Source organism: Homo sapiens, chromosome 21 (assembly GCF_000001405.40).
Source record: "Homo sapiens chromosome 21, GRCh38.p14 Primary Assembly".
NCBI classification, from domain to species: Eukaryota; Metazoa; Chordata; class Mammalia; order Primates; family Hominidae; genus Homo; species Homo sapiens.
Genome location: NC_000021.9, coordinates 45,320,723 through 45,345,100, shown reverse-complemented (window position 1 = coordinate 45,345,100; position 24,378 = coordinate 45,320,723). Strand labels below are relative to the sequence as shown.

At 57.4% G+C, this 24,378-nt stretch overlaps 1 long non-coding RNA gene across 1 annotated transcript, besides 4 other annotated features; it reads left to right on the top strand.

The window, feature by feature from the left end:
- Positions 1-3,110: 3,110 nt before the first annotated feature.
- On the top strand, positions 3,111-6,511 carry LINC00316 (long intergenic non-protein coding RNA 316). Its single transcript, NR_103811.1, has 2 exons — positions 3,111-3,276; positions 6,223-6,511. It is a non-coding gene; the product is annotated as a long intergenic non-protein coding RNA 316 (long non-coding RNA).
- Positions 14,362-15,083: an enhancer, noted in NCBI's record as "NANOG-H3K27ac-H3K4me1 hESC enhancer chr21:46749933-46750654 (GRCh37/hg19 assembly coordinates)". NCBI's record gives its function as "activates a minimal SCP1, AML or CMV promoter by ChIP-STARR-seq in naive and primed H9 embryonic stem cells {active_cell/tissue: H9 hESC(naive and primed)}" and the evidence as "EXISTENCE:reporter gene assay evidence [ECO:0000049][PMID:30033119]".
- Positions 17,250-17,971: an enhancer, noted in NCBI's record as "H3K4me1 hESC enhancer chr21:46747045-46747766 (GRCh37/hg19 assembly coordinates)". NCBI's record gives its function as "activates a minimal SCP1, AML or CMV promoter by ChIP-STARR-seq in primed H9 embryonic stem cells {active_cell/tissue: H9 hESC(primed)}" and the evidence as "EXISTENCE:reporter gene assay evidence [ECO:0000049][PMID:30033119]".
- Positions 17,740-17,789: an enhancer, noted in NCBI's record as "active region_18587". NCBI's record gives its function as "activates an Ori minimal core promoter by ATAC-STARR-seq in GM12878 lymphoblastoid cells {active_cell/tissue: GM12878}" and the evidence as "EXISTENCE:reporter gene assay evidence [ECO:0000049][PMID:35858748]".
- Positions 20,876-21,873: an enhancer, noted in NCBI's record as "H3K27ac-H3K4me1 hESC enhancer chr21:46743143-46744140 (GRCh37/hg19 assembly coordinates)". NCBI's record gives its function as "activates a minimal SCP1, AML or CMV promoter by ChIP-STARR-seq in naive H9 embryonic stem cells {active_cell/tissue: H9 hESC(naive)}" and the evidence as "EXISTENCE:reporter gene assay evidence [ECO:0000049][PMID:30033119]".

Below are 24,378 nucleotides of genomic sequence, written 5' to 3'. Positions count from 1 at the left end.
TCTGTCCATTGGTCATTTGTCTCCCATCTTCAGGGACCTCCCTGTTTGAGTCTTCCTTGTGCCTGCTTTGTTTTGTCGCTAAATTACACACACAATTCCTGAGGCAAAACCGTCAACCACAGCTGCTTGGCTTAGCCCGGCTTTCGGGCAAGGGGGCAGGTTCGGCACTGGGGACCAAGGCACTGTGAAACCACCACGTGGCCCCGCTGATAGGCACCTGCTCTGAAGGCGGCTGGAGGCCGTCTCGCCTGAGACCCTGACTGTCATCTCAAGCCGGTTGTCCCTTGCAGGGACTCGGCTTTTCTATGCTCTCCTATTTAAACAGACATAGTGTCTGTGCTATGCTGGGCCCCAAGGGTAAGTCACAGAGGCCTGAAATCGAGGATGAGGCCGAGCGGAGCCTGGGCAATGTGGGCGCGGCCTAGAGGGCTGCGCTGCACTGTGGTGGACATGGCCTGCAGCGCCGTGAGCGATGCCTGTGCTCTCACTCCCACGGGGCAGGTGGAATCCCACGGACAGAGTCTCCTCACCCGGCCTCCCCCCAGCTGTGTGTCCAGGGCCGAGGCATCGGTTGGGCCAGCTGAGCTGGTGTTTGTTGACCAGGAGCAGCTTTAGTTTGCTCTGGGTAGAGCCCAACTTGTCTCATCCACCTCTAAAGCCAAACTTCATCCCATTGACCAACGACGAGCTGGAATTCCACAGGACAGTCTGTGGCCACCAGAAAATCCTCCATGGCCTCTGCCACAGGCTCTGTCTGACTGTGGAGCAGATGGATGTTTCCGCGAACACAGGTCAGAGTCCTGCCTCCCAGCCAGCCCTCCTCATCACAGTCCTGGCACTTCATCCAACTCCCTCTGTCCTCCGAGTTGTGGCAGGGGCAGAAAACCCCACCGTGGAGTGCTGAGCCAAGACTGGGTTCACGGATGGGTCCCGGCCACTGGCTGCTATACCATGCTGCCTTTCCACCCTCTGCAGCACCGCATGGAACGCACACATCCTCTCACATTCACACGGACACACCCAGCGCCACTCCCGGTGTGGTTCCTTCCACATTCCAAACTCATCCGGACCTTTATTTTATTCATTATTTATTTATTTATTTATTTATTTTTGAGAGTGAGTCTCACGCTGTCACCCAGGCTGGTGTGCAGTGGCATGATCTCGGCTCACCGCAACCTCCACCTCCCGGGTTCAAGCGATTCTCCTGCCTCAGCCTCCCGAGTAGCTGTGACTAAAGGTGCGTCCCACCATGCCCAGCTAATTTTTGTATTTTTAGTAGAGACAGGGTTTCTACTAAACCAGGTCAGGCTGGTCTCCAACTTCTGATATCATGATCTGCCCGCCTCAGCCTCCCAAAGTGCTGGGATTACAGGCGTGAGGCACCGTACCCAGCCAGATAGACCTTTATGTTAACAGCTACACATCGTCCCATGGCCTGGATAAGCCGACGTCTATTGGTTAATGTGGTTGCTGTTGCCCAGCTTTGCTCTGCAGATCAACATTTGGTGTCCTTGCACACACACGTGCCTGCCAGCCTTCCCCACCTTGGCCTATGCGAGCGCCCACTTCCGAGCTCCCTGTTTCACTCGCTTGCTTGGTTTTTTTTTGGTTCTGCACCCCCTCCGCACCCCCAAATGAAACCCCATCCGGACAGGGACCCTGTCTTGCTCACCCGTGGATCCTGGGCACAGCAGGGGAGATGCTCCCCTGTGATTTCTTCCAGACGTGTTTGTTTCAGCCTCCGTGTTTGCATTTGCAGACTGCATATGGGGGAACGTGGGGCCCCGGCTTCCTGCGTTCCGTATGCATCTGCAACTGAGCTGGTACCACGAGTAAAGAGGTTCCCCGTGCCCCTGGTCTGCAATCCTGAATCTGTTGTGGATCAAGTGTCCCGTGTGCGTGTTTCTGGACCTTCCATCCCACTTCACTGACCACTGTGTGGCCTGGTCTGGACCTTCCATCCCACTTCACTGACCGCTGTGTGGCCTGGTCTGGACCTTCCATCCCACTTCACTGACGCTGTGTGGCCTGGTCTGGACCTTCCATCCCACTTCACTGACCACTGTGTGGCCTGGTCTGGACCTTCCATCCCACTTCACTGACCGCTGTGTGGCCTGGTCTGGACTCCTATAGCTTTGTGGTGGGCACTGGCACCTGGGGGCCGAGTCCCTCGCTTTGGTCGTCCTCAAGGTCGTCTTGCTGTTCTTGCCCCGTCCATTCCCACGTAAACTTTAGCTTGGCAACCCCCTACCCGCAACACACACACACTCACACACTTTGGCCTGGATTTTAATGGTGATTACATGGAATTTATAGATCAATTGTTGTGTTTGTTAACTTGTTTTTAACTTGCTTTTAATCCATAAATATATCATATCCCTTCCTTTATTTAAATCTTTTTTTTTTTTCTTTTTTTTCTGTCACTCAGGCTGGAGTGCTGTGGTGAGATCTCCGCTCACTGCAACCTCCACCTCCCAGGTTCAGGCGATTCTCCTGCCTCAGCCACCTAAGTACCTGGGATTACAGGCGCACACCTCCACATCTGGCTAATTTTTGTATTTTTAGTAGAGATGGGGTTTCACCATGTTGGCCAGGCTGGTCGCGAACTCCTGACCTCAGGTGATCTGCTCTCCTAGGACTCCTAAAGTGTTGGGATTACAGGCGTGAGCCCCCATGCCTGGGCTATTTAAATCTTCTTTAATGTACCTTAGTCAATGTTTTGCTGTTTTTGGAATATTTTACTGAACAGTTACTAGGTAATTGATGGGTTTTGATACTACCAAAATGGTATCATTTAAAAATTCTCATTTTCTAATTATTAGTTGCTGGTCTGTATAAAGATAATTAATTTTTGTATATTTAGCTTGTATCCAGTGTTGTTGCTAAATTTACTTTTTAAAAATAACAGCTTTATTAAAATATAATTCACATACCATACAGTTCACCTGTTTGCAGTATAGAGTTCAGTGCTTGTTAGTATATTCACAGAATTGCACAACCATCATCGCAATCAATTTTGGAATATTTTTATCACCCTCCCCCACAAAAAGTACAACAAGCAAAAACCTGTACCAACACTAAATTCATTTTTCATCCTAACACTCACCTAGAGATTATTTTGGATTTTCTACAAACACAATGCACTTCCTGCCGTGCTTGTGTTGGGAAATCTGCCAGAACCCACAGGAGGGAAAGTCTAATGAAAGCACGCGCCTGCTGGAAAACGAACCGGGCTTTTGAAAAGAGAGGGGCTGCGTTTGTGCTGACACGAGCAAGGTACAGAGAGATCTAAATGCATGGTATAGTGCGTGTGTGTGTTGTCCAGAATGGCTAATTCAAATGTTCATTCTAACCTTAGACGTGGATTGAGAATTAGGCAGATGTACACAGAAATGAATTAGGACACTCAGGCTACTTGGGAATTTTGAGTGATTCCAGTACAAGCTCCTGAGGGCCTCATCAGCAAAGGCATTTCTGAATGCATCCTCTTCTCCTCCCCAAAGAAGAAGATTAAATGTGCCAGGTCTGTAGGGAAGGTCAGCAGGGGTGCTTGTGACCAAGCCTGCGTCCCCTCACCTGTACTGCTGGCAGGCCGGGCCCCCAGGCAAATCCTAGCGTCCGACTGGATCAACTGAGCAGAACAACCCTGAATTAGGCTTCTGCCCCGAGCTGGGGGGAGCCAGCCACAGAGACCCCGGGTGGGAAAGCTGGACCAGGCACGAGCCTCCTTCTGTGGGGGGCTCAGTGGTGGCTGCAGGGGTCATTCCCAGGGGTCGGAGGCATCCACCCCAGGCAGGAGCTGCCTCCAGGTGACTTGAGCAATGAAGAGAAAAAATTCTTTCTGTGTCAAAATATGTTTCTGTGTTAGCCTAAGGTAAACTGAGAGAAAGAATCCCAGTTTAAGAGAATGTCTGCATAAGTAAGGTTCACAAGTGTATCTCAGAGCTTGTGATTCTCTGGGGAAAATGTCATAACAATGTAGGAATCCTCGTTTAGACAAGTTTGCCCATTTTATAACTTTGGTACACATACTACTATAAAATTTCAAGTTTTAACACTGAAAATTAAATTTCCGAGGGTGGCAGGTGAACAATTTCCTCTGAGGAGAGGGAAGAGCCACACTCGATAATTTCTTTTCTGCCTTTCTCTCCTTTTCCCTGTCCTGGGACTTCCAGAAACTGCGGGAGGTGGGGCCAGAAGAGAACAAGGATCTGAAAAATGCTCTCACTCTAACTCCCGCGTGGCATGTGTGAGCCAGTCTTAGCTTTGGTTTGCACTTTCTGAAAAGAAGGAATGATGTCGAAACCTTAGTTTGAGAGATGATGGATTCCTGGGTGGAAATGAGCAAACGGAGGGATGGATGGATGATGGACGGATGCATAAATAGATGGATGGATGGATAAATAGATGGATGGATGGATGGATGGATGGATGGATGGATGGATGGATAGATGGATGGGTGGATGGATGGATGGATGGGTGGGTGGATGGATGGACGGGTGGGTGGATGGATGGATGGATGGACGAGTGGGTGGATGGATGGATGGACGGGTGGATGGGTGGATGGATGGATGGATGGATGGGTGGATGGATGGACGGGTGGGTGGATGGATGGATGGATGGATGGATGGATGGATGGATGGATGGATGGATGGATGGGTGGGTGGGTGGATGGATGGATGGATGGATGGATGGATGGATGGATGCAGAGGAAAGAGGCACTGGCATCGGTCTCCACGTGAATTCCAGCCAGCAAGACTACAATGCTCCTATGAGACCAAACTGTATTTTGAATTAAAGTTTCCATATTGAGGATAAGCTTATGCTCAGAAGAAAAATCACAGCTTCTGAGCGACTGGTCTGTAAATTGGCAACAGCATGAAGCAGATAAGAGAATACGCTCACTATGGACATGTGCCCAGACACAGAACAGTGGCTAGTTGTTAAAACATTTCCTTCCAAGGCTAATATTTTCAGAAGGAAAAATATAACAAAGGTGATTACTACCACATTTAAATCTCTGCAAGGCCCCGTTTTATTTTTAACCTGATAAAAGGGACCACAACTAGTGGATCCATGTCATGACACACTTGTCAAAACCCATAAAATGTTCGACACAAGGAGTGAGCCCTAATGTGAGCCGTGTGTTCGCGCGACTGATAATTGTAACAAACGCAGCACAGGAAGCAGGATGTCAGTCGCAGGGGAGCCGAGACACTGGGGCTCCCTGGACCTGAGACTCAGTTTTTCTGTAAACCTAAAACTGCTCTAAGTAACAAAGTCCACTAATTAAAATGTTTAAAAAGGAGCCAAACCATGCTTCTTCTTTAATACATCTTATATGCTTTTCCTAATAATAATATGAATCATTTTAAATGTCCGATTTGGAGATTTTCATATCGTTTTTGAAAGACTGGGCGTTTTGGAAATCCCCTGTTGGGTCATGTCATTACCTGAACAGCTCATTAAACGTTTTGTGAGTGACTCTGACACACACGATGGGTCCCTTGTCATTCATAAACGGGATTTTATAGAAGCATTGATTATATCATAATGTTATAAAGGCCTATAAAATTGCTCCTTAACCTGAATTGCAGGGTGAAATTTAAGGGCAAGCATCTCTAATAATATCCATGTGGAAAGCTATTGTATTTTGATCTTATTTCATTATAGTTTCTGACATTCTCAAATGGCCTTTGCACTTTGTAGGAATAGGGCATTAAGAAATAAATACCTGGCCGGGCACGGTGGCTCACACCTGTAATCCCAGCACTTTGGGAGGCGGAGGCGGGCGGATCATGAGGTCAGGAGATCGAGAGCATCCTGGCTAACACGGTGAAACCCCATCTCTACTAAAAATACAAAAAATCAGCCAGGCATGATGGCTGGCACCTGTAGTCCCAGCTACTCAGGAGGCTGAGGCAGGAGAATGGCGTGAACCCGTGAGGCGGAGCTTGCAGTGAGCCAAGATTGCACCACTGCACTCCAGCCTGGGCGACAGAGCGAGACTCCGTCTCAAATAAATAAATACCTGAGTGTCTTTTAAAAATTAGAATTCAACACCAAATTGTGGGTTATTTAAAAAAAATATGTTAAAGACAAATTCCCTTGACCTGGGCGTGTCTGTTTCTTCTCTGTGTTGGTCACTTCACATCAGCTGTAAACACCAGCGCTGTTCCCTGACTATTCTGAATATAAAGACACCTTTTTCTCTCTTCTCAGAGACCTGTATTGCCTTAACACTCCCAGCAATGACCACCTGCAAGCTTGCGCTGCGACTCCCGTCCGAAGACATGCGGGCCAGTATGAGCGGAGAGGTTCCCAGCACCGTCACAAGACCCTGTGCTATTATTTTAGACTCACCTGTGGCTGTTGACAACACCACACACATGAAATGATGCTCACCAGAATCAAAATACTCAGCTAAACAAAGAATTGTGTTGGTCATGAAATTATTACCAGGAGGGATAAAACTCCAGGGTGAGCCATTAAAGAATCTGAATTCAATTCATTCTCATGTAAGATGTTGGAGCTAGATTTACACCTAGGCGTGTGCACCCACCAGGTCAAAGTCTCACTTCTGCCCTTTCCCTGCCACACCCAGCCCAGAACCATCAGAGGGACAGGCTGGTGGGGACTTGGGTGCGGACGGGAGGTCGTGCCAGTTCAAGGGGTCCCCATGGTCAAGTTGTGGCTACCTGAACACTGAAAGAAAATGAAAATCATAGTTACTTAAAATAAACTTATTATCTAAAAACTGCAAACCCCCAGTGGTACACAAAGACAACTCCCTTTTTTCTTGTCTAATTAATAGTACTAAACAGAGGCCAATTGATTCAGTACAAATGCTGCTCACTTGAGCTGTGTTTTGATTGTCTTTTCTTTTGTTTTTTTTGAGACGGAGTTTTGCTCTTGTTGCCCAAGCTGGAGGGCAATGGTGCAATTTCGGCTCACTGCAACTTCCGCCTCCTGGGTTCAAGTGATTCTCCTGCCTCAGCCTCCCAAGTAGCTGGGATTACAGGCACCTGCCACCACGCCCAGCTATTTTTTTGTATTTTTAGTACAGACAGGGTTTCGCCATGTTGGCCAGGCTGGTCCTGAACTCCTGACCTCGGGTGATCCACCTGCCTTGGCCTCCCAAAGTGCTGGGATTACAAGCATGAGCCACCACGCCCAGACTGTCTTTGCTCTTAAAAGGTGCAGAAATCTGCATTCGTTTTCTGGGGCTGCTGCAACACTGTTCCACAAAACTGATGGCTAAGAACAGAGGTTCTCTCACAGATCTGGAGCCAGAAGTCCCAGATCAAGGTGTGGGTGGGGCCGTGCCCCCTCCAGAGGCTCTGGGGAGGATCCCTCCCGCCTCTCCCAGCTCCCAGCAGCCCCCAGTGTCCCCTGGCCTGTGCATCACTCCAGTCTCTGCCTCCATCTTCATGTGGCCTCCTCCTTGTGGGTCTGTGTCTGTGTCCACATTTCCCCTTTTGGTGATGACACAGTCACATTGGATTACAGCCCATCCTAATGAACTTGATTTAACGTGATTAAATCTGCAAAGACCTTATTTCCAAGTAGGGTCACACACACAGGTATGGGGGTGTAGGGCTTCAGTGCGTCCTTTTTTGGGGGGAGGGGACACCATTCAACCCATAACAAAATGTGTCTGTGTGTGAGGCTGACTCCGTCCCTGTGAGCACAGGCTCCCCTGTGAGACTTTCTCCCCAGTTTGGGGGCTCCTAACCGGTCAGTGGTGTATTTGCTATCCATTGTGTCCTAACAAAGCACCCCAAGTTTAATGGCTCACAACAACCTACAATAAACCTTCCTTATCCTCACAGTTCCTCTGAGCCAGGAAATCCAGCACAGCTTAGCTGGGCGCTGGGGCACAGGGCTCTCATGAGGCTGCAGTTGGATGCCTCTGGGGCCACTGTCATCCGAGAGCCTCCCCAGGGCTGCAGGGTCCAGGTCCAGGCACGTGGCTGGCACACTAGTGCTGCTGGTGGCGGGAGGCCTCTGTTCTCCCTCTGAGACCCATGGCTGGCCCATGGCTGCCTGGGCTGGCTGGGCTTCCTTCCCACCCCAGGCAATGTCGTCAGCGGACCATGAGCTCAGCCGCTGCCACCTAGGGTTCCTTCATTCTCCTACAGTCTCCCAGAGAGGAGGGGCCGGCTCTTCCTTCTTTGCTCCTTAGAGCCTTCCTGTGACTTCTGCAGCAAGGTTTGTGCAGACAGCAGGGTTTGTAGGTGTACCTGTGGCCAAGCATTTCTCATTTTTCTGGAACTTTAAAGTACCTGGAAGGTTTTTCTTTTCTCTTCCCAGGTGTGGAAACCACAGAATCTTCTGTGCTCTGTGCCTGAAGTGTGGGCAGGCTGCGCCATGGCACCCAAGGCAGTTTTCCTGGAAACCAAGATGCCGTGTTCCAGATTTCACTGTGAACCAAGGCAGTGTGCAGGGGCCTTGGATGAAGCTCCCACTCCTGCCCATTATTTTGGGAGTCGAAGGGCCTGAGGCAGGGGCCAGAGATGAATGCTGGTGGCTTACATCCCAGCTCAGGAGCTCCGGAAACCAGAGAGGTGTCGTGGAAACTGTGGGCCACTTGAGGCAGCAGGAAGAGGTGCTCCAGGATCTTGATGAAGTGAAAGCAACTCCATGCTCCCTGCAGGCTGGTGGGGAGCACATGGGGGAAGCAGGGACTGTGTACAGCAGGGCAGGTGTCCCCTCCTACCCCTCCAGGTGCCCTGGGCACCTCTCCCCACCACGCTCTGCCCAGGCTGACCCTGGGGCTGGCACAGGCTGGGGAGGGTGGGTTTGGCCTCGGGTATTGGCAGTCCAAGGTCGGGGAGGGCTCCTTCTCGGCAGGTGCACAGGCAGCCTGTCTCCCTGCACTAAGGCTCCAGGGGCCCCGCCCTCACCTCACCCTCCTGGCGCGCTCCAGCCATGGGCTCGCTTTCTCCCTACTCCCTGCTCCACCGTTGCCAATGGTCCCTCCATCAACGTCCCCCTGGAGCTGCCTGAGGTTGCTCTGCTTCCCGGACCCTGGGCTCTCTCTGGGACCCTGCTGGCCCGAGCCAGCCTCCTCTCCACGCTGGGGATGCAGTTACACCTGTTTCTTTGACGGCTGCCTGGTAGAGTCACATTTCACCCCCGGCACCCTGTGGCACCTAGGAGGCCCTGCAAGCCCCTTTTGGTGACCTGGGGAGCCTGGGCTTCCGGCTGGGTGGTCTCTGAGGGGAGGAGCCTGGTGCACCCTGGATGGAGGGGAGGAAAAGGGGCGGCCTGGACATATCCACCAGGACTGGGCCTGCCTGTGATGCCAGTGTGGCCCTGGTTCTTCACCGAGACCCATCTCCCCAGGCCAGGGGTGGGGCCTCCCTGGACTCCCCTCCTCGCCCTCCAGGGACGGGGGCTGACACTCCTCACACACACGTCTACCTCAGAGTCTGGTTTCCATCCCTCGCACACACCGTAACCCCCCCAGGGTTATAGGACAATTTTGAACCTGTGAGGACCCAGCTCCTCTCCATGGGGTATGTTTGGGAAAACACAGGCCCAGAGAGGGGGCACAGGCCCGGGGAGGGGGCACAGGTCTGGGGAGGGGGCACAGGTCTGGGGAGGGGGCACAGGTCTGGGAGGGGGCACAGGTCCGGGGAGGGGGCACAGGCCTGGGGAGGGGGCACAGGTCCAGGGAGAGGGCACTGGCCCAGCGAGGGGGCACAGATCCAGGGAGGGGGCACAGGTCCGGGGAGGGGCACAGATCCAGGGAGGGGGCACAGGCCTGGGGAGGGGGCACAGGTCCAGGGAGAGGGCACTGGCCCGGCGAGGGGGCACAGATCCAGGGAGGGGGCACAGGCCCGGGAGGGGGCACAGGCCTGGGAGGGGGCACAGGTCTGGGGAGGGGGCACAGGTCCGGGGAGGGGGCACAGGTCTGGGGAGGGGGCACAGGTCCGGGGAGGGGGCACAGATCCGGGGAGGGGGCACAGGTGTGGGGAGGGGCACAGATCTGGGGAGGGGGCACAGGTCTGGGGAGGGGCACATATTTGGGGAGGGGGCACATGCCCAGGTAGCACAGGCAGCTGAAGGCCCAGTGGGACCCTGACACCTGATGGCAGAAAACACGAAGGTGACAGGCTGGCACCATGGCCCAGAAGGGCCCCCAGCCCTGCCTTCACCTGCAGGCCAAGCTTCCCCCCACTAGCCACCCCCACAGGCCTCTCGGCTGGCATGGGACACAGAACAGAGTGTTGACAAAAACCAACACAAAGGCAGCAAAGCTGCTGGCCAAGTCTCAGTGACTGTGAACGGATACCAGGGTAACAGTGAGATGTGTCCACACTGAAGGGGCTCGGGAGTGGGAGTGGAGCCCTGGAGGCCCCATCTTTGCTGGGAAGGGCACGGGGGAGCATGGCCCCCATCATGAGCAGAGACGGAGAGGAGAGCTCGGACTCCTCACTCCAGGGAAGGCACGTGGGTGCCCCACACTGCACCTGTGGGACTCGGCCACACCAGGAAGACCAGATGCATTTACCTAGTAATCAAGAAAGGTTCACATTCAACCAACCAGACACATCATTTGAAAATTTAGGGGAAAATACTAAAAGGAACCCAAAGACAGATAAAGAACAGCACTAGTGAAGACAGCAGGAGGTGGGGACTTGGTCAGATGAAGGCCTGGCTCTGAGGCCAGTGCAGTGCGGGGTGAGGCAGCCCAGAAACGCCCGGGAGCTGCCACAAGCAGACACTGAGGGAGGGAACCGTTCCCAGCCATAGCTTTCTTGGCACAACATAAACGAAGAAGCTTTTGAAGCCTGCAAGACCCACGACCTTCTCCAGTCAAAGGCCGCTGACATCTGCTCCATCCATGGAGGAACCAGACCCACAGGTCACAGAAACCATGGCCGAGCATTTGAAATGATGAAACTCTTCCCCACCAGTTCATTGTTTCTCCAGGGCAGGGGCCTAGAAGTAGAATTTCTTGGTTGAAAAGATGGCATCTTTAAAAACTATCATGTAAGAACAACCCTAACTGTCTTCCCCGCACCGGCAGCCGCCTGCCTCACTCACTCATCCCCACACTGAAGGCTTCCGAGCTCCTTCGCATTGGAAGCAGTTCCAGACGCTGGGGATCCATCACCACACAGCAGGGGGAAAATCCCTGCCGTGCAAACACACATTCCAGTAAGAGACAATGAGACAGGCTGCTGGGTGCTGGTTAGGAATGTGAACGGGGTTGTCAGAGGGGCCTCACGGAGAAGACCCTGAGAAAAGACTGGAGGAGGCCAGGAGCCAGGGAGGCCTGTGTGGTCGGGGAAACAGCATCGCAGGCAGAGGGAACGGCGAGGCAAAGGCGAGTCAGGTCATGCCCGGTGTTCCAGGATGGAGAGTCCATGTAGCCAGAGGGTGGGGAGGGAGGAGAGGACCTCAGGGCGGGAAGTGGGTGAGTTGGGAGCCACCCTGGCGGGTCTGCCAGATCCTAACAGGGTCACCAGCCTTCTGGCTCAAAAGCCAGCTGTCGGCCAGAGAGCAAGCTTTGGGGGCTTCAAGAGGGGTGACATTGGTGTCTCAGCCCAGCTCAAGTGGGACAGGCCGGCCTGGCTGACCCTGGGGTGTCTTGTCTGTCTGAGCCTCGTCCCCGCCGCCACCCTACACATCGGATGCACATGTGGACAGTGATGACTGATGGGCCTTTGTGGAGTCTGGGCTCTGCACAGGGGCTTGCTGGTGAGGGAAGATGCGGGGACGGAAAGGAACCCGCTGTTGGTGGGAATGTGCCCGGGTCTCATGATAGTCTCTCATCTTAGTCCTGCTGAGCCACCCCTCCTGGCTGTTCCCATGCACCACAGGGCCCCTGGACTCATGTAGACAGGAAGACAGGGGCACCCGCCACGGAGAGGAATGGCCCAAGTCTGTCAATGCTCTCCAGGTAGCAACACGTTGATGGGAGGGCGGGCTCCTCAGCCCCACTCATGGCTGACCCAGTAAAGCAGTGGCAGAAGCCAGTGGCTGAGGGCGTGTCTCAGGTGTGCATGCGCTGGCTGGGAGCTGGTTTTTGTTCCTCCAGGGGCCCCGTGGGCTGGTTTCCAGTCTCTAAAACACCTGGGACTCCAGATGGTCTCCTCTTACAGCATGGGTGGACACTAAGGGGGTTGTGGGAGGCTTGAGAGATGCAGAGGAGAGAGCCTGCCAGACCCAGAATCCCCACTGTGTCTCCTCCTCGGTGTCAGAGGATCAGCTGTGTGCGTACACAGACATATATGCACAGACACACGGATGCACAGACACACAGACGCACAGACACATGGATGCACAGACACAGTGACAGACACACAAGCACACAGACACATTGACACACATACACAGACATAGAGATGCACAACACACAGATACAGACACACTGACACACACACACATATGCAGAGACACACGGATGCACAGACACACGGACGCACAGTGACAGACACCCAAGCACACAGACACAGACACAGACACACAGATGCACCAACACACAGATACAGACACACTGAGACACACACACAGACACACTGACACACACAGACACACAGATGCACAGACACACAGACACACACACACAGTGACAGACACACACACAGGCACACAGACACAGACACACACAGACACAGAGATGCACCGACACACAGATACAGACACACAGACTCACAGACACAGACACACTGACACAGATGCACAGACGCACACACACAAATACCACACATGGGCACACACACGGCCCTGAAATTTAGGGAATTCTAAGAAAGATTTTTAAATGTTTATTTTATTATTTTCTTTTTTCAAATAGATTTTTGTTCATGTAAAACCTGGAAATGGCTTTAAAGCGATTTGGGTTTTATAAATAATCCTCACTGTAAATAGTGCAAGGACAACATGAAACGTTTCCAGGAGGCAGCAGCCCCTGCCCCGGCCCTCCCCCTGCCCGCTCTCAGCCCCTTCCCCCTGCCTGCTCTCAGCCCCTTCCCCCTGCCCTCCCACTGCCTGCTCTCAGCCCCTGCTCCAGCCCTGCCTCTGCCCGCTCTCAGCCCCCTCCCCCTGCCCTCCCCCTGCCCCTCTCTGGATAGTTGGCCCCCGAGGGTGGGTGCCTGGCCTGCCAGCGCTTCCTCCTTCACTTAGGTCCCTCCTGATGTCCTGTGGGGGCCACCCCCCACCCTATCCGCCACGTGTGTCCCCTCCCTCACTGCCCACTCTTGGCTAAAACCACAGTCACTGCTTGTCATGGCTGGGCCTTGTACACACAGCATTCCCCTAATCTTCCAGCCCGACGCTGCTCTCTGGAGGCTCAGCCTCCTCCTTCCAGGACACGACCCCCGCCCTCTGCCACACTCCACAGCGTGCTGAGAGGGCCAGACCCATTCCCCATGTCTTCCCACGGGGCAACCCCTTGGTGGGCTGTGGGCCTCCCATTCTGGGTGGTCCTGGCCCTGCCCTTAGCCAGCCTGGCCTCCCTGGGCCACCCTCTGCTGAGCGGCTGCCCCCGCCAAGGCTGAAGCTGACCCCGGCCTGACCTTCTGCCTTCGGAGCTGGTCCCGCTGGCTCACGGGGTATGGCCCACGGGGACAGTGGGAACCGGGGGTCTCAGCATTCCTTCCAAAGATGCACAGCCCAGAGTAGAATGAGGTGCTCCTCTCCAGGGCAAAATTAAAGCAGGGAGCAGGGGGGTGTTCCAAAAACTCACTCATCAGAAAAGCGGTATTTTAATGCAATTCTTTTTAAAACCAGGAGTAACGCAAAAAATATCGATGACAAAAAGTCAAAATAAAAAAGGACATTCTTCTTTTCAAAAGAAGTCTTGTTTCTTTCCAGTTCATTTTCCAAAAGTCTGAGGTGGTTCGGGGCTGCCCTGGGTCCCTTCCCGTCCTCTGCCCCCGTGCGGGGCTGTGCCGTGGACGGAAGCCTCTCGCCAACGCCCAGCGGCTCCATCCCGAAGGCCCGTGAGGCTCCTGGAGCGGCTCCACCTCCCCTCCCCTTTCCCACAACCCCTCCCTCCCCATCTTGAGACCCTCCACCCTAGCAGAGGCCTCACCTCGGAGCTCCTGACCTGATGGGAGTCCACCCTCTCCCCCGCCTTGGCCAGCACCCCCTGCCCAGTTTCACCCAAAGTTCCCACTCCGCCCCGTGCGAGTCCTTTCCCCTGGGGCTGAGACAGAGGACACCAGGCAGTGTTTGAGGAGCCCCCTTCTGTGGATACCTCCCAGTGGTTATGTTGGGCGAAAAGAAGGAAAAGGGTTGGGAAGAAGCCAGTCAGCTGTCCAGTGCCCTGAGGCCTGACCCCCTCCATCCTCAGGCCCTGAGTCCTGACTGCCTCCACCCTGAGGCCCTGAGTCCTGACCATCCTCCACCCTGAGGCCCTGAGTCCTGACCATCCTCCACCCTGAGGCCCTGAGCCCTGACCCCCCTTCACCCTGAGGCCCTGGGCCCTGACCACCCACCCTGAGGCCCTGAGTCCTGACCATCCTCCACCCTGAGGCCCTGGGCCCTGACCCCCCTCCACTCTGAGGCCCTGGTCCCCGGCCTGGCTGGGCCCCCGAGCAGTGAGCAGGGCAGCAGGGCGGAGTGAGCAGGTTCCCCCAGGTGACCATCAGGTGACGCCTGGTCCTGGGCACCCTGCACCCTCTGTGCTTGGCCAGTGGTCCCTCCACTCAGCTCTCCCAGGGGCCCGGGCTGACCCTGGCTGCCCTAACCATGTCGGTGTATGGTGCCCGAGGGCTCAGGCCAGACAAGTGTCTACCAAGGGCAGCAAACGCTGGGGCACCTGGCCCGAGGCCACAGGAATAAGCAGCCTCCCGCAGAGCCTGGCATGTTGGGGGTTGAGTGCTCTCATCTCCCTGTTTAATGATTTCCTCAGCAAACACATCCTCGGGATTGCTCAAGGCTGAGGTCACTGTTCAGCTCAGCTTCCCGGGAGCCTGTGAAGACATTTGCAAAAGGGTCCACTGAAAACAGCACGGGCTGGGCTGCCAGCAACCCGGTGGGTGGGAGGGCAACCTCCAAAAAACCCTCCGGTCAGAAAACAAAATGGCAAAAAGACGTCTCCTCTGGGGGCCCGGTCCATAACAGATGCGCCTTTGAAATCCTGGGCCAGGCGTCTGTCCAGAGCAGTGAATTCTCCAAGGGAAGGCGGGGTTAGGATGCTGCACCCATCCCTGGTGGAATTCCAGGTGGAGCTGGGAAGAGCATTGCTCCCACCCACAAGAAAAAAGCTACAACTGCATGTCAACAGCGCGTGATCCGTCCAGGAGCCCGGAACCAACCTGGAAGAGGCGGGTTCCTCTGCGGGTGGGACCCTGGGCAGGTGCCCGGCCAGATCACCGTGTCAGCTGGTGAGAAGTGTGAGCTGGGGATAGTCAGCAGACTGCGGCCTGGGATGGCTGCTGGGCGGGGTGGAGATCGTGAATCTCCACCAAAGGGGGACCTGCTCACTCTGCCCTGCTCATCTGGCCCCAGAGGGACCGGGCTCTTCCCACAGTACTGGCTGAGGGAGGGGCACCCTCCGGGGCCACGGAGCCCAGGGAGGCCCGGGATGCCAGGACGTGGAGACGTGTGCTGTGAGCAGCGCACCTGGAGGAGGGGCCGGAGAACGCGGAGCACACCTGAGCCCAGGCCCACGGTGGAGGATGTCCCTCTGGGCTCTGCAGTGGGCAAGGCCAGGAGAGCTGGGAGGGACAGGTCTCTCTCTCTCCACCCCCTCAGGAGGTGAAGCCCCAGGGCCAGGCAGAGACAAGCACAAGTGCGGCTGGAGCAGCCTGAGGGTCGCCGTGGCCACAGCAGACATCAAACCAGGGGACTCCTGCAGGGCTGGGCTCAGCCCCATGGTAAAGGCAGGCAGAGGATGGGGGCTGTTAGGGGCTGAGCGGTGTCCCCCAAATCCATGCATCAAAGCCCTAACAGCCAGGACCCCAGAAGGTGACTGTATTTGGAGACAGCTTTTAAAGAGGTGATTAAGGTAAAATTCAGTCCTTAGGGCAGGCCCTGATCCAGTCTGCCTGGGGTCCTTATAAGGGGAGGGAGGACACAGACACACGGAGGGGTGGCCCTGCGAGGACCCAGGGAGGAGACGCCGCCCACAAGCCAAGGAGAGGCTGCGGGAGGAACCGGGCCTGCCACACGGGGACCTGGGACGTCCAGCCTCCAGGACGCAGAGAAACAACGGTCTGCTGAGGAAGCCGCCCGGCATGCAGCATTTGTGCTGGCAGCCCTGAGAAAACTTGAATAGGATGCTCCGCTGCTGGCATGAGAGCTGTTTTCCTGCAAGGCTGGGCAACTCCTCCACCGCTGGCGGGTGGAAAATGGGGCGGCCGCCACGTGCCTGGTTTATCCCAGAGAGGTGAGGACCTGGGTACGCGCAAGCACACAAGCCTGTGTGGCAGTGTCCACTGTGGCAATGCCAGGACAATGATGGCTGGAAAGGACCCGAAGTGCCGCCCTGGTAATGGGGTGACAGACGGGAACATCTGAGGCAGGAGGCGGTGCTCAGATACTGGACCACATTGAGGCCTAGCTAACACAGGGCAGGGGCACAGGTAGCTTTCCATGAGGCACGCCCTCCAGTGCGCCATGTCAGTTTACGGTTGCCACGGCAATACCTGGGCATTACTGCCCCTTTCCATGGCAACTACCCGACCACCCAAGAGTTACTACTCCTTCCCTAGAAGGAGTGTCCACCTCACACAAGGACCGTACTGGGGCGGCGTCCAGAAGGAGTGTCCACCTCACACAAGGACCGTGCTGGGGCGGCGTCCAGAAGGAGTGTCCACCTCACACAAGGACCGTGCTGGGGCGGCGTCCGAGAAGTGTGGGGCTGTCTGCGGCCTTGAGGGCCTCGTGGGCACAGTGCAGACTTGGACACAGGTGGCAGGACTGGGCGCTCGGAGCTGAGGACGGGTCCAGGAGATGCCGACACCAGCTAAGCTCCTGCTGTGAGACCCCGACCCCGGGGCGTTCAGGAACTCCACCCTTTCTGATCGCATCACCCTCATGGACAGCCTGCAAGTCCAGTGACGTTGTCTCCATTTCACAGATGGAGAGGCTGAGGCTTGGTGCCGAGGGCTTCCCACACATCTGGGAGTGGGAGCTGTTCTCAGGCCAAGCCACCCTGGGTCCCTGGGAACTCACTCCATCCTGTGTGATTCCCTGTGTGTCCCCTGCCCAGACCCCTCAGAGCCAAACTCAAATGGCAGCTTGGCACCAACACGTTCCCAACAAAGGGAACGTCCACCATCCCAGAACCCGCCCACTTCATTGCCCCGCACTGCTGCACACCCAGCCCTGCAGGCGGCAGCCCCAGGAGCAACAGACACCTCCTCACACACCTCCAGGTCCCCAGCGTGGCACGCAGCCTCCAAGCACCTGACCACCGTGCCAGCTCCCGGTCCACCTGGCCCAGGCCCACTCCCCTGGGTGTTGGCAGGAGCCCCGCCTGGACTCTCACACCCCAGGCCTCCAGTCTGCACCAGCATCTGCAAGCCCAGATCCTTCTATGGCCCTCCCAGCTGAGGACACACCCCAGGCCTCGCAGGGCCTGCTGGTCTCTGCCAACACCTGCAAAGCTCTCTGCGCCTCTGCCCGGCAGCCTCCTCCTTCCCGCAACTCCACCTCAGCCTCGGGACATTTGCCCAGCGTCCCCTCTGTCAATCCACTCTCCCCTGGGTCTCCGTGCCCCCAGTGTCACCTGAACATCCCCTTGCTGACCTGCTGTGCAGCCAGGTCCCCACCATAAGCACTGTCATTACGCCACTGTGTGGGTGTCTGCCTTGGGTCTCTGCCCCTGGCCGCCCCCAGGGCCTGTTCCTTGAGAGCAGGGCAGGTTCTGTGTGTTTCTTCCCCATGGTCTATCCCCAGCACCAAGCGCAGCGCCTGCCACACAGCAGGTGCTTCCCAAACAGAGTGGGGCAGGGTTTGCACCGTTTGACTCCTCAGGCCACCTGTTTCCATTGCACACAGAAGGGGAGGAGTCATTGCCACCCAGGCAGTCAGGGGAGGCTTCCCGGAAGAGGTGATTGGGGAACTGGGCTTTGAAGGATGCCCACACCTCACCAGGCAGCAAAGCCCAGAGGTAGCAATGCAGCCTGTGAGCTGTGCCGGGGTGAATGCCAGTGAAATGTTAGAGTCAACTGCAGCCAGGGGTGGGACAGGAGGGAGAGAGGAGAAAAGAGGGGGCAGAGGTATCAGGAAGGGCCAGTGGGGGCCTCCACACCCAGCCACAGAGCGTGGGACTGTCCTGTGAGCAGTGGCCATTGTCAGGGTGACTAAGAGATGACCAGCGTGGGTGGTATCGGGGGAAGCCAAGCCCGGGAGTTAGGGGGACCTGGGGCCCTGAACACACGGCTGCAGCACGTCTGGGGCAGATCGATGGGACCGTACGGGCCAGGGCAGACACTGGGCACCGGGTCAGGCAGTGACCTCCGACAGTGCGTCCCCACGGCCCATGCGCTCATGTTTCAGTGCTTTGAGGATGCTGTGGGGGCAGGAGCAGGGAACTGGACCCGAGTCCCACCCTGGGCATGTGGCTAGCCTCCTGCATGCATTCTTCCGGAAGCTTCCCCAAGGTGTCCGTACATGCTTTTCTGTGGAATTTCTCATCCTCTGCACCTCAGCGGCTGACTGGGGCCCATGCTGCAGCCTGGGGAGATGCAACCCCCAAGGACGAGCCGGCCAGACAGTCCCGAGGGCCACAGCTGGAGGAGGGTCTTCCAGGCTTGGGCTGGGGACAAAGCCCCTTTGTGCCTTCCTGGCCGAGGCCCCATGGAGGACAGAGCTCCTTTCAAGGCCGCCCTGCTCCTCCACAGTGAAGGCTGACTTGGCTTCGGGGATCCTGGGGCAACACCATGTGGCTGACACCACGGACTGATTAGAAACAGCTGGCAAAGGCGCCAGGGCCCTGGGTTGTAGGGGGTGGTTTCAGCCTTTTCTAATCTTGGCTCTGACTCAGTTAGAAACAGAGTGGGCCCAGAGCCTCCCAGGGGGCTGGTTAACCCCCCAACCCTGATACAAGGGCCCAGAGCCTCCCGGGGGGCTGGTTAACGCCCCCAACCCCGATACAAGGGCCCAGAGCCTCCCGGGGCTTTGCCAACTCCATGTGAAGATGTCTTCAAGGCAGGGGCCGTGTGGGACGAGCCCGCATGGCAGGGGAGCGGCAGCCAAGGCCGAGACACAGACAAGTGCAGCGTCAGAGGAGACAGAGGTCCAGCCAGGCCCCTTGGGGGGCAGATGAGAGCCACAGCACAGCCCACAGGGACCACAGCCCACGAAACCACAGCCCACAGAACCACAGCTCGTGGAGGGACCACAGCCCACTGGGACCGTTGCCCGTGGAGCCAGGTAGAACCAGGTTGGAGACACCCCCGGGTGCACTGTGCACCTTGCTCCTGGGCTGCAGGCATAGCAGTCCCCCGCTTCATGGGGACCCAGCCTGGAGTCTGCTGCTCACTGAGGCTGCTCGGGAATCCCAGGGTGGGAAAGTGAGGCCGGGTAGCAGAAGGAAGCACCTTCTCCTGGGGATCAGGTATTGCCACCTGTTGTGGGGGTTGGGGAGAGGAAGCTCTCCCGGGAACCAGTGGCTCCCTCCCTCCCCCACTCTGCCCACGGCTCAGGCCTCCCACAAGCTTGGGCGCCAGTGTCCTGCAGATAAGGGGGTGTGCGGGTTTTCCCAGTGGAACAGGCCGGTGGGACTTGCCGGGGTGTAGGTGGCTGGGCCACAGGTGTGGACGGGTGTCGTGGGCGATGGGGGAAGCTGGGGTGGGAAGGATGTGCCTGCCTGCCACGCTGGGCCCCAGCTTCTCAGGGCTGTCCCGCTGGGCAGGGGTCCCCCACCCGCAGGGCACTCGCCCCTCCCCGCACAGTTCCTCCTTGGGGTCTTCCCTGCACCCCAGCCTCGAGGCCCCTCCGCACAGGCTCCTTGCAGCCCTGCCTCCCACGACTGTTCGTCCCCCAGGAGCCCCACGTGATCTGTCCCCTGCCCTGCTGGCACCGACTCTCTGGGATGTGAGTGAGCCCGAAGCAGGGGCACCGGGATGGGAATCGGGCGCTATGGTGCCGTGGTGGCTGGGGATCCAAGTTAAGCTGGTGCAGGTGAGGAGGCCTCAGGCTGAGTCCGGGTGGCAGCTGGAATGGGACCCGCCGGCCTGAGGTGTTGAGGGGGGTCCTTTCCCCGCTTCAGGCCCACACTCTGTGGGGCGCATAGCCACGCTGCAGATGGGCACTGCCCTCTGCACTCAGCCCCACCCAGCGGCCACTTCTGTCCACATCCTGCTGGCCAGAGGCCCAGGCGTCAGACATCCCCAGACCGCCTGCCCCATGGGTGAGCAGACCCCACCTTCTGCCCTGGGAATTTCTGGCTGGGTGGTCAACAAGGGGAGCCTGGGGGTTCAGTGCCCAACTCTGCTCGGCCTACATCCCTCTTGGGACTCACCCAGCCCCTGGGGGCCTTGGACACCGGGAACACAGCAGACAATTCACACTGAGCTTTCGCCTAGACAGTCCCAACCCAGACGCAAATGCGGGAACTCTTCCTCCTCCAGCGTCCCACAGTCACCCAGGATGCACCACAGCGCCCAGACCCAGCTTCCTGACCCAGCCCTGCCCCTTCCTAGCTCAGGCCAGAGCCCAGGAGACCCCTCCACATCCTTCACCCCACCTTACCCCCTCACCTCCCTCCCACTCCCCTGCACCCCTCATTTCTGACTCCCTGGGAGGGTGACTCTGTCCTCAGTGTCCTGTCCACCTCCACTGATGTCTGCTCACTGCCATTCATTCAAGGCTCAGCCTTCTCAGCCCCCTGGGTAGGACAGTGCCTTTTCCCATCGCTGCCGGAACTCCCCAGGCAGTTTGCATGGGTTTCTCACTGGAAGCTGCTGAGCCCCACCTGTGTGGGGTCCTGGGGCTGCCCCCCTCCTCACAGCAGGCTCAGCTCATGGTGGGTGCCGGGGGGTGGGGAGGCTGAGGGTTGGGAGGGAGGAGGGGCAGGCGGAGGAGGCTTCTTTAGGATGAGCCCAGCGAGGGTGGCCCAGGGGAGACGGTGCAGATCCCAGGAGCCCACATCAGCTGGAGACCTTAGGGAGAGCTCCAGGCCCAGCACACCTGCCCCAGCCTCAGCCCAGGAACCCTGCCCTGTCGGGGGAAGGAATGTGTGGAATGTTCCAGCAAAGAGGAGGTGAGGGGCACGGAGACCCTGGCCAGGTGAGGGACAATGAGACCCTGGTGGCCCCAGGAATGCTGTGGCCCGGGAGGAAGCAGAGGGGAGCTGGCCAGTGAGCTGTAGGCCTGCCCACATCCATGGCCCTGGCTGGGACCCCGCGGGGGCTTGGGGAGGGCCCTCTGGGGCTGGTGGCCTCCCAGTTCGGGGAGTTGATGTTTTCACTTTCAGAGTTCCCACAAAAAACCAGCTCACATCCCTGGGGATTTTCTGCTTGACCAGCATCCCACGAGGCTGCCCTTGTGCAGCTGCCAGCCCAGCCCTCCCTAAGCGCTTTCCAGGGCCTGGCCCCAGGCCTGCAGGCAGGAGCCTCCCATGCCGGCAGCACCTGAGACCTTCAAGGTTTATTAAGCAGAGGTGATTTTGATGAGTGAAGCGCAGAGGTTGGAGGTGACTTTGTCCCAGGTGGGGAGGGTCCCGAGCTTGGCAAGAAGACAGAGGGGCAGCTACATGGGTGCCCGTATGGCTGGCACAGAGCACCAGCCTCTGGAGGCCCACCCCGGGCTCAAGCTCTCGAGTCAGGGACGCAGACAATGGGCAGAGCCGTCCTGGCATCAGGGGGCGCCCAGACGCCTCCTCCTGACAGACAGCCAGACTCTTCATGCGAGTTTGGTGGCACCAGCTCCAGGTTCTGGGCCCGCCTGGAGTACCCGCTCTGGCTGGGATGGGGTCAGTTCCCTGCTTCCGTGGGTGTGGGCCAGGGCTGGGCACAGGGGTTGGTAAAGTTTGGGCATCTTCAAGGAGAATGCTGAGGCCTCCCGAGAGCCCCGTGCAGGACAGGACCTGGGTGGAGGCGAGACGGTGGGCGTGGCTTTCCCCCCACGCTGTCCTGAACGCCTCAGGGATTGGGAAACAGCTCAGCAAGGGGGAACTCGGGCCCTGCCCCCGACTCCATCCTGGGGCACCGCCAGATGCTGTGAGGCTCGGCCAGCCCAGAGGTGGCATCAGAGGGACTGCCATGAGCAGAGAGCACCACACAGAGATCCGAAGAGTCCAGTCCCTGCCTGAGGGGAGGGTGGGTTCAGGGGACAGGGTCTGGTCCGTGACCTTGACCTGAGGACTAAACACGGAGCAGGGGGAGGAGGGGCGGGACCGGGAGGGCAGAACCCACGCGAGGAAGAGGAGGGCGGGGCTGGGACAGGAGAACCCACGTGAGGAAGAGGAGGTGGGTGTTGTGTACGCACAAATATCATACATATGAGCACAAATGAGCCGTGAGGAAACGTACAAATCTGCATAAATGAATTCAAAAAGCCAAAGCGGCCATTCAGGGAGAGACCACAGTAAACAGAACAGCGCGGCTGAGCTGGTGTGGCCCCGTCAGCTTCCACTCACCCGTGAAGATAAAAGTGGCTGTATGGGCTCACCCAGCAAAACCCAACTCTATCCTGTTTACACCAGACATACCCCAGATCTAGCTCTTCAGAAGCCGTAGAGGGAAGAGCGTGCAGGATGGGGTAGGCAGGTGCAGGAAGGGGCCGTCCCAGGAGACCCTCTGTCCCAGGAGCCAGCCTGCCTCGGCCAACAGCCCTCCTTGCCCGCTAGGAAGTGTGGCTCTCAGAGCCAGGCTGGGGCTGAGGTCTGGCCGCCTTGTTGGGGCTGCCGGCATGGGACAGGTCAGAAACTCAGGTCCACAGCAAGGAGGAGTGTCAGAGAAGGGGAAAGGAAGGACAGAGAGAGCCTTCTGCTTTCTTACCCTTTTTGGGGGGCGGGGAGGGGGGACAGAGTCTTGTTCCGTCACCTAGGCTGGAGTACAGTGGCTCAATCTCTGCTCGTCACAACCTCTGCCTCTCAGGTTCAAGAGATTCTCGTGCCTCAGCCTCCCGAGTAGCTGGGATTACAGGCACCCACCACCACACCCAGCTAATTTTTGCATTTTTTAGCAGAGATGGGGTTTCACCATTTGGCCATGGTGGTCTCAAACTCCTGACCTCAGGTGATCCACCCGCCTCAGCCTCCCAAAGTGCTGGGATTACAGGCATGAGCCACGGCGCCTGGCCCGTTTTCCGATTCCTAATTGTGCTGGGTGGTCATGGCGTGGGGATAAGTAATGGGACAGTGATGTCGTTATGGGGCGGGATGGGGATGGGAGGCTCCGTCGTCCAGCCCCCGCTACCCCAGAGCGTTATTTGGAGGTGGCTGTGGTGGCTGAACCAGGCCCCCTAGGGTGTCTCCGTCCTAACCTCAGGAATCGGCAGACATCGCCTTGTGTGACACAGATGCCATGAGGTTAGAATCCACAGTGGCAGAGTTGAGTTGTGACTGGCCAAAAAAAGCCTAAAATATTCATTCTCTGGCTCATTACAGAGCAGTTTGCTGACCCCTGGTCCGCCTGCCCGCTCCCCGGCTGGCCTGTGGGCAGGACCTTGGCCACCGCCTGAGGCTCAGCAGGGGCGTGAGCTTCCCCCGAAACCAGCCCCCCGACTTCTCCCCCTTCAATGAGCCACAGAGAAGCCAGAATCTGACTAAGTGCAGATGTGGGTTCTGGAGGTGCAACCCCAGGATGCACACGAGGGGACCCTGACCCCAGGATGCACATGAGGGGACCCTGACCCCCCACGTACACATGAGGGGACCTTGATCCCCACCCACACATGAGGGGACCCTGACCCCAGGATGCACACGAGGGGACCCTGACCCCCACCCACACACGAGGGGACCCTGACCCCAGGATGCACACGAGGGGACCCTGACCCCCACCCACACACGAGGGGACCCTGAGCCCCCACCCACACACGAGGGGGCCATGACTCCCCATCCACACACCAGGGGGCCATGACTCCCCACCCACACACGGCGTCTGAGTCCCGTCTCCTCAAATCTGACTTGCTCAACCAGCAGAAGTGAGACAGACTTTCTGGGGTTCCCAGGGTTACATCTTAAGGGGCCTGGCAGCACCCGCCTGGGTCTCTGGGGATGCTCCCCCTCGGATCCCAGCTGCTGCCGGCTCTGCAAAGCCCCAGTGTGGCCACGTGGGGTGGCCTCAGCCAACAGCCCAAGCTGAGCCCCACCCCAGCCGCCTGCCCTTCCTGCCCTCCCTGCGCTGAGCCACTTGGGTGCCCTTCAGGAGTCCCTGAGCGAGAGCCACCAGCTGAGCCCCGCAGCTGCAGAGCCTGGTCTGGGAGGTTTTATGAGATCCACCACCCGTGTGATGGGGACTGAGG